At 44.9% G+C, this 9,370-nt stretch overlaps 1 pseudogene across 1 annotated transcript, besides 1 other annotated feature; it reads right to left on the reverse strand.

The window, feature by feature from the left end:
- Positions 281-360: an enhancer, noted in NCBI's record as "active region_3303". NCBI's record gives its function as "activates an Ori minimal core promoter by ATAC-STARR-seq in GM12878 lymphoblastoid cells {active_cell/tissue: GM12878}" and the evidence as "EXISTENCE:reporter gene assay evidence [ECO:0000049][PMID:35858748]".
- Positions 2,965-3,688, reverse strand: LOC107984165 (coiled-coil-helix-coiled-coil-helix domain-containing protein 2-like; annotated as a pseudogene). The gene has a single exon (XR_007062354.1). The product of XR_007062354.1 is annotated as a coiled-coil-helix-coiled-coil-helix domain-containing protein 2-like (transcript).
- Between the last annotated feature and the right edge of the window lie 5,682 nt (positions 3,689-9,370).

A 9,370-nucleotide genomic window follows, 5' to 3' on the forward strand; every position in this document is an offset into this window, starting at 1 on the left:
GTGGAACACATGGAGGAAGAATCTCTGCTCCTTCTGGCAGCTCCTGCAAGACTGGCTTCTTTTGCTTCCTCTGGGACTTTCCCTTTAACTCTGTGTCTGCCAGCGAAGCTGCTCTTACTTTCATTTTTGGCTCAGCTCAGGCCACAAGTGTTTTCTGATAAGCTGCTAAACAGGGCTGGATCCAGGCCAGTCTTGTTTGTACTATATTTAACCATGAGTCAATATAAGAAATTGATCTGGATGCCCAGGCTGTCCTCCGACCCCTGTCACCACCTTAAATACATGGCCAATTATTTCCCTGTCTATAGTTCCTTTGGTCAGCCATCCAATACCAAAAGGAGGCCATTCTAATTCACAGAGAGTTCTCAACCTTTGGGGGGTCAGCTTAACTCCATAATCCCCTGCAAAATATTTCTTAAAGGTCTGTAACTTGCACTCCAATGGAGTGGGTTTTGATGACTTTCCTTCCATTCCTCCCTTTGTGGCGCAGTACACTCACTGTTCCTTTTGCCTCAGGCTGACCAGACTGTCTCCTATTGAGGGAGTTTTCAGATGCCGCTTAGCTTTGGAGGGGTTCTTATTCCCACCACAACTCTGAGCTGTGGGGCAGCTCCTATTAGTTGCATGCAGCTTGCCACTAGTCCAGGTCAGCCCCACACTTTGCTTGGAGCACACAGTGCACGCTAAGAGATTTATGACTCCCCACATCACTCCCCGCATTGGTTCCTTTTGAAACTGTTTCTTTCACACACTTTCACACACCTCCCCACTCCCAGTTCCTGTGTTCCTATTTAGGGTAGTGAGCCACTCTCACCACCTCCAATTTCCTTTTCCTAACCAACTTAGTGAGCCACTCTCGCATCCTGTGTTGGTTGGGGTGTGAGTTTAATCTAAATTGGTGAGCCACTCTCACTGCTCCCTACCTCTCTGGGTCGGATTATGAGTTACACCCCAGGAGGTGATCAGGCTCCCCTTCTGTCCTTATGGAACAGGTCCTGCCTTGGGCCCCAATACCTTACCGTGGTTCCTGAAGCATGCTGCTCCTGGTAATCCTCCTGTAGCCCCTCTCAGGTTCTGTTGCACTGCTGGGTAGGGGCACTGGGTCACAGGAGAGCCTATCTCCCCTCTGGGCTGAAGTTCTCCCAGCCACGCCTGGGGTCACAGTTTTCCCTTGACCCGGGGCTCCAGCCCCACAGGCAAAGGAGATAGTAAGCCTGTCATCTCCACTCCTGGCTGGCTTGCCAAAATGTTGTGGTAAACTGAGGACCAGAGAGATCGAAATGGGGAATATAAGAGGATGTTTATTTAAGGCACGCACCGGCTCAGTGGATTCACATCCAAAAACTAAGCATTGAACAAAACAGAGTTTAGCTTATATAGGCTTGCATTCAAAAGCAAAACAAAGGCAGTGAGTTTTACAGTGACTAGTCATGTAATCCATAGCATAACTGCTGACCTTGGCAATAACCTGTGGCCTTGCATAGCTAGTGGCTAGCAGCTGCATCAAAAGAAAAACAGGAACTTTGCAAATCCTACTAAATACAAGCATTGGCAAACATAGTCATAACTAATAGTACAATACAGGAGAGACAGTAAAGGAATTTTTCTTCTTTTAACCTTGCTTGGGGGTGTCTGGAGTTCATTTCTGCAGGCTAGGTCACCACGACCTGTCTATACCCTTGCCTGCAGCAGAGAAAAACTTGTGTTTCTCACTTCACCTTTAATTACTGCATTTATTCGCTTTTCTTGGAGTGAATAAATGCAGTACTTATTGTTATTATTATTTTTAAATTTCTGTCTCATGCCTATTGGGCTCCATAGTAGAATTGTGAGTGGATTGTATGCCACAATTACAGTATTAGAGCATTCCGGGTTTTTCTATGTATTTAATTTTACTAGTGTGTTTTGTACTTCCATTTTTTTCACATTAGCGATTTTTTTTTCAGACTGAAGAAGTCACTTGAACATTTCTTGTAAGATGGGTCTGGTGGCAGTGAATTCTTTCAGGGCTTTTTTTCTTTTGAGACAGGATCTCCTTTTCTCACCCAGGTTGGAGTGCAGTGGTGCAATGTTGGCTCACTGCAGCCTCAGCCTCCTGAGCTCAAGAGACCCTCCCACCTCAGTCTCTCTAGTAGCTGAGACTACAGGCATGCACCACCACACCAGGCTAATTTTGATTATTTTTTGTATTTTATTTTATTTTATTTTTTTTGTAGAGATGAGGTCTCACCATGTTGCCCGGGCTGGTCTCCAACTCCTGGACTCAAGTGATCCTCCTACCTTGGCCTCCCAAAGTGGTGGGATTATAGGTGTGAGCCCACTGTTCCAGGCCTGGTACGTTAGAATCATATCGGGAGCAATGACAAATAAGAAATGATGTTTAGAGCCCGGGCAACATAGTGAGACCCCTGTCTTTACAAAAAACTAAAAAATTAGCTGGGTATGGTGGCTGATGCTTGTTGTCCCAGCTACTTGGGGGGCTGATGTAGAAGGATGGTTTGAGCTTGGGAGGTGGAGGCTGCAGTGAGCAGTGACTGCCACTCCAGCGTGGATGACAGAGAGAGACCCTGTCAAAAAAAAAAAAAAAAGAAAAGAAAAAGAAAGAAATGTTTAACTTTCTTTGATTCGTATTTGCATGAATGTACGCTTTTTTTTTTTTTTGAGAGTCTCACTCTGTCACCCAGGCTGGAGTGCAGGGGCACAGTCACGGCTCACTGCAGCCTGGACTATTGGGCTCAAGCGATCCTCCCACATCAGCCTCCCAAGTAGCTGGGACCACAGGTTCATGCCATCACACCCAGCTAATTTTTTTGTATTTGTTGTAGAGATGGGGTTTCACCATGTTGCTCAGGCTGGTTTCAAACTCATGGGCTCAAGAGGTCCTCAGCTTTGAAATCCCAAAGTGCTAGGATTGCAGATGTGAGCCAGCATGCCTATATTAATTTTGTTTTGGGTGGGGGGGTGGTGAGAAAATCACTTTATTCTAATTAACGCTCAAACAATAAAATTACAACAGCTCGTTTAAGGAAACCACAGAAATATTTGTCCAGCCCAAAATTCTATACCATCTCGGTGAAATTCTACACATTGAGAACACCCTCTTCCATTGTAATTCTGAAGCAGGAAAGATATGAATGACAGAGGAGAATTTTAACTGATGGTTTTATACTTTATACCTTTACTGTCAATTATATTTTATGCTAAATTAACTTGGTCATGAGAGCCATTTTCATTTCTTCAGTTTGGACTTCTTGATTAGGCTATTCCATTTGCAAATCTGCACTGTTTCAGCACCTCATTGAGACCTCACAGAGCTTTATGTCATCCTGGTTCTGGCCACGCTCCAAAAACTGTTTCATCTCAGAAGCAAGGCTGCTGCTGCTGTGCTGGCCGGGTTCCCTGAGGTTCTTGGTAAGTGAGGCCAGGCCTTGGAGGCTCAGCATTATTTCTTCCACTAAAGCCCCCAGTGTGTGCCCCACAGTAGAGCCTGTAGCAATGCCAGCTGCAGTGGTTGCCATTTGGGCCATCAGAGCTAGCTACCAAGGTGCAGCAGCACAAAAGCCAGTTGCAGAGGGTGGGGCTGCTGCTGGGGGCTGAGCTGTGGTGCTGGGTTGGGTGCAGTTCTCATCTCAGGTGCCCGGCTGGCTGGAGGGGCCATGCAAGTGATGATGTGGCTTCCATGCAGCATTATGACTGCACAGAGGCTCAGCCTGTGAAAGCCTGCAAAGAGCCCAACACCATAAATATGTTACGAATATTATTTCAAAATTGTATGAGGTTTCTAAAAAGTTGATATATCTTGGTACATGTAGTGAATTGCTTTAATCTGATGCTTTTCTGCATAGAGCTTTTAGCTCTGTGCAAATCCTAGAGTGTTATGTCTTCAAGGATATTCATGGAAAGAACCAGGAATTATACTCTTGAATAGAGGTTTCTGACTGCTTTGTAGATCATATCATTAGACTAAGTAAAAACTTACAGAACACTAATAAAAAACTGGTGTGTTCGTGAAGATCACTAATTGTGTTAGTCCATTCTTGCACTGCTATAAAGAATACCTGAAAGAAAGTATAATTTATAAAGAAAAGAGGTTTAATTGGCTCAAGGGTTCTGCAGGCTGTACAGGAAGCATGGCTGGGGAGGCCTCAAGAAACCTTCAATCATGGCAGAGGGGAAGCAGGCTTATCTTACATGGCCAGAGCAGGAGGAAGAGAGAGAGAGGAGGTGCTACACACTTTTAAACAACCGGATCTCATGAGAACTCACTCACTCTCATGAGAATAGCACCAAAGGGGAAATCTGTCCCCACAACCCAATCACCTCCCACCAGGCCCCACCTCCAACACTGGGATTACAACTTGACATGCGATTTGGGACACAGATTCAAACCATATCACTAACTCAACATCAAGCAGAACAAGAATTAATTACATGGGACTGAACTGATGGAGGAGTGAAATGATTTTTATGTCTATTTGTTTGAAACATTGCTGATTCTTTTCATGTTTTGTTTTGCGGAATCAAGAAAACTTTATTTCTTTTGAGCTACTTGTAAGTCACAGAAATTGGGTAAAATATACTGTTTTTTTTTTTTTTTTTTGAAACAGAGTTTTGCTCTTGTTGCCCAGGCTGGAGTACAATGGTGTGATCTCGGCTCACTGCAACCTCTGCCTCCTGGGTTCAAGTGATTCTCCTGCCTCAGCCTCCCAAGTAGCTGGCATTACAGGTGACTGCCGCCATGCCCAGCTAATTTTTGTATTTTTATCAGTGGGGTTTCACCATGTTGGCCAGGCTGGTCTCGAACTCCTGACCTCAAGTGATCTGCCCTCCTTGGCTTCCCAAAGTGCTGGGATTACAGGCATGAGCCACTGCACCCAGCCTAAAATATACTTTTGGGAGCAGATTGAGACATTTACCTTTCTCTCTACCTGATTTCTCCAGAATTCAGAAACTATTTGTGCGTATTCTTACATTTTGGCAATATAGTTATTTGCATAAGCTCAGTAAGAATCCATTTTTTTTAAACAGGACGCAAGTGGAGACACTGTTTTCTTTTTTAAACCACCATTTGACTGGAATGACATATTTTCTGATATGACCAGACTGCTTTAAATAACTGAAGTTGACTTATAAAGCCGATAGACATGGGGAATGACTGGCCTGGTACCTTGTCTACACAGTTCCCTTATAAAGTTCCTGATCTTGTGGTAAGAAAAGAATATCAGTTTCTGGCCACATATGGTGGCTCATGCTTGTAATCCCAGCACTTTCAGAGGCTGAGGCAGGTGGATCACAAGGTCAGCAGTTTAAGACCAGCCTGGCCAAGATGGTGAAACCCTGTCTCTACTAAAAATACAAAAAAATTAGCCAAGCATGGTGGCAGGAACCTGTAATCCCAGCTACTCTGGAGGCTGAGTCATAGAATTGCTTGAACCCGGGAGGCGGAGGTTGCAGTGAGCTGAGATTGCACCACTGCACTCCAGCCTGGGTGACAGAGCAAGACTCCAATTTAAAAAAAAAAAAAAAAGGATATCAGTTTCTGACAGGCACAGGAACCTCAATATATTTTGAGACCTAGAGAAGAGAGGAATTTATCTAGTTTGTACAGGTAAGACAGGTACAGTCTGATGGCGAATCCTTGGCTTGGTCACTGCACTCCAGCCTGGGTGATGGAGTGAGACTCTGTCTCAAAAAAGTAAAAAAATTAGCTGGGGGTGATGGTGCACAACTATACTCCTTGTTAATTGGTGTTCTCACACACACACACCTTTGGACACTAGGCTGATTATCTCTTTAGGATGAGCCCATGGAAGGGTACTCACTGGGTCACTGGATGTGCTCACAATGTGCTCCTTACCTTTCTGGCTGTGAGTCCCTTCCCTTAAAGTTCTCACTACCCCAGGCCCCCCAAGGGTGGTCTTTTCAGAAAAAGGCCTGTTCCTGTCTTATCCTGTATAAAACCTTCCAAGGCTTCCCATTGCCTGCAGGGAAAGGTCCAAACTTCATCCTGGCCCAGCCTCTTGCCAGCCTTGGTGCTGCCCACTGGCTGGAGCACCACATCTCCACTTGGCCTTGAGTTCATCTGAAAAATGGGGACAGATTACACCATCCCCTTCACATTGCCAACTGGCTAAAGAAGTGAGGAAGTTAAGCATTTAGCACAGAGCCTGTCTCTTTGTAAGTTTTAGCTGGTAGTGATTGAAACCGTGAACTCCCCATTGCTGAGACCAGCTCGGCTGGGGAGACCCTAACCCAGTGGCGCTAGAGGAATTAAAGACACACATACAGAAATATAGAGGTGTGAAGTGGGAAATCAGGGGTCTCACAGCCTTCAGAGCTGAGAGCCCCGAACAGAGATTTACCCACATATTTATTAGCAGCAAACCAGTCATTAGCATTGTTTCTATAGATGTTAAATTAACTAAAAGTATCCCTTATGGGAAACGAAGGGATGGGCCGAATTAAAGGAACAGGTTGCCCTAGTTAACTGCAGCAGGAGCATGTCCTAAGGCACAGGTCGCTCATGCTATTGTTTGTGGCTTAAGAATGCCTTTAAGCTGTTTTCTGCCCTGGGCGGGCCAGGTGTTCCTTGTCCTCATTCCCGTAAACCCACAACCTTCCAGTGTGGGCATTAGGGCCATTATGAACATGTTACAGTGCTGCAGAGATTTTGTTTATGGCCAGTTTTGGGGCCAGTTTATGGCCGGATTTTGGGGGGCTTGCTCCCAACACCCCATTTTGAGTCCTTAATCTCTATTATCAGTAAATAATGTTCTTTTCAAATGATTGACGTAACTCCTGCAGGCTCTGCCTACATCTGTCCACTGGCAATTGACACTTTGTTCAAGCCCCACACAGGAGCACTTATAGTGGAGTGTACTAAGAGAGGATGTCTCTTAGTCTTGGGCCACAGAAGTGAAATTGATATTTTAGTTCAGATAGGAAGGATGGAGAGGAGTTGGCCAGGACAAGAGTGGGGGCCCAAGTTAGGCAAGCAGAAGGAAGAGCCCAGGGCAGCTCCTGCATGGGTCCAGCTCCCTAGGTGGTGTGAAGCTTGGTGAGCAAGGGGCTAAGGAAGCCGCTGGGGCAGAGCCACATGAGCTCTGGCCGAGGGAGAGGTGAGGATGGCAAAGCAGGCAGGAAAGGGTGGAGGGCCCAGCAGGTTAGGCAAGGAGTTCAGACAGTCGAGGGATGATGGAAAGCCAATGGGGGCAACTTTGCTTTGGGATCCAACAATGACTGTTGGTACCCAGCTCTGCTATTTACTAGGTGAGGGACCAAAGACAAGTTACGTTCTCTGAGCCAATTTCCTCATCTGCAAAATGAGAATAATAATTGTACCTTCTTTGGTGGTGAGAGCTCAGTGTAATGATGTATGTAAAAGGCTCTGCATGTCCTCTGGAATCAGCAAATGGTAGCCATATATAAATAAATGCAGATTCTGGATCCAGCCCCCAAAGTAAGGAAAGACTGGTCCTTAGGTGCCCTTGCTGGAAAAAGTGGGATGGAAAAAGTGTGATGGAAAAAGTGTGATTCTTTTGTTTTTTGTAGAGTCTCACTCTGTCACCTAGGATGGAATGCAGTGGCGCGATGTCAGCTCACTGCAACCTCCACCTCCCAGGTTCCAGCAATTCTCCTGTCTCAGCCTCCTGAGTAGCTGGAACTATAGGCGCACGCTGTCACGCCTAGCTAATTTCTTTTGTATTTTAGTAGAGACGGGGTTTCACTGTGTTGCCCAGGCTGGTCTCGAACTCCTGAGCTCAGGCAATCCGCCCGCCTCAGCCTCCCAAAGTCCTAGGATTACAGGTGTGAACCACCATGCCTGGCCATGATTCTTGATAAAGTGGCTTTGTAGGATTCTTGGCTAAAACTCGGCTCACCAGGCCAAGACAAGGCATAGTTGAAAGGAGGATGCAAAGGAGCCTGACTCCACTTTAGTCTAGGAGGGACGCTTGTCAGCTGTTCTATCCTTAGCATCCAGAAGTGAGTAGCACGCAGTGGGCCTTTGGTCAATCACTGGTAAATTGGTAAATGAATGCACCATCCTGAGAAATTTTCTTAAAAAAAAAGGCCCTAATTGAATGAGAGAGATACATTTTCCTCCCTTAGCTTTCCAATTCCTGGAGTTAATAAATAGAAACATATGTTTTTCCTAGAAAATAATACATTTGTTAAAACAGATTCAACCTACTTTCATTTTCTATGTCAGCAAATAGTGAGGAAATAATGTTTTTAGTGTTCTAGGTGATGTACTTTTCTAACATGCTTTTTATTTGTATGAAATAAAAACAGGATTATTTGGAAACAAATAGCTATCCAAAGGCACATAAAATATGTCTCTCATACTTTCCGTATCAGTTTCTGGTGGCAGATGTCAACCTAAGCAGTACATTAGAACCACTTGGGGGCTTTAAAAAATCCGAATGCCAGGACCACACTTAGGGCAATTAATTCAGAATCTCTGAAGCTGGGACCCAGGTACCTTCACTTTGCTTTTTTTTTTTTTTGGTATTTATTTCATTCTATTTTCTGTATAACTTTAAGTACATAAAGATTTATTTCCACAGGATCAGGAAATGGGTAGAAATCACAGGACAATCTCTCTTCCCACCAAAAAAGTTGCGTATTTTGGTAAGTGTTTGTCCTAGAGGGAAAAAACTGAAATTTACATTAGCAGTGCTGTGCAAGATTCTTACATAAATCAAGACCTAAAAGCAGCTTGCAGTGGAGGTTTTGGTCCCCTGTTCAGGTGCTTGGACAGAAGCCATAAGCTGGTGAGTGTGACAGGGAAAAGGAGGCAGTGAAGACAGGTGACAGGCACCTAGCAGGGAAGGAGGATTCAGGAATACCAGACTCCTTGGAATGGAGTGTTGTTTTTCCTTTTTTTTTTTTTCATCTCTGTAGGAAGGTGCTGGGCAGGGATCCCAGAGAAAGAAAGGGTTGAATACTCCTTTAACTGCCCTGGATGAAGGGCACTGCTACAGCAGCTAGTACCGGAGACTCTCCTATCTCATGGTTGAGGCAGACCCAGGATAGAATAGTGAATAAAAGGAATGCTTATAGGAAACAATTTTGCGTGGAATGCTAGATGGCCAAGCCTCAGCCTTTGGTCCAGTGCAATCCTTGCCTCACTTGTCAATAGTGAAAAATTAGTTTGGTTAGAAGAACCATCTGGAAACACACCAGCTTCTGCTACCTTCATGCTCATTGTCAGAAAAAGATTAACCAGTGTGAACGTTCTGATCTGTTAATTCCTGGGACTGTTTTCTTCCCAGTGGACTGTTTGTTGGTAGAATAACCCCCAAAGCTCAAAGCTAAAATGCATCATTAGTCCTCGTCGGCAGTTGAGCTGATTTGGAAAAGCTGCACC

The sequence above is a fragment of the Homo sapiens genome, chromosome 10, assembly GCF_000001405.40.
Source record: "Homo sapiens chromosome 10, GRCh38.p14 Primary Assembly".
Classification (NCBI taxonomy): Eukaryota; Metazoa; Chordata; class Mammalia; order Primates; family Hominidae; genus Homo; species Homo sapiens.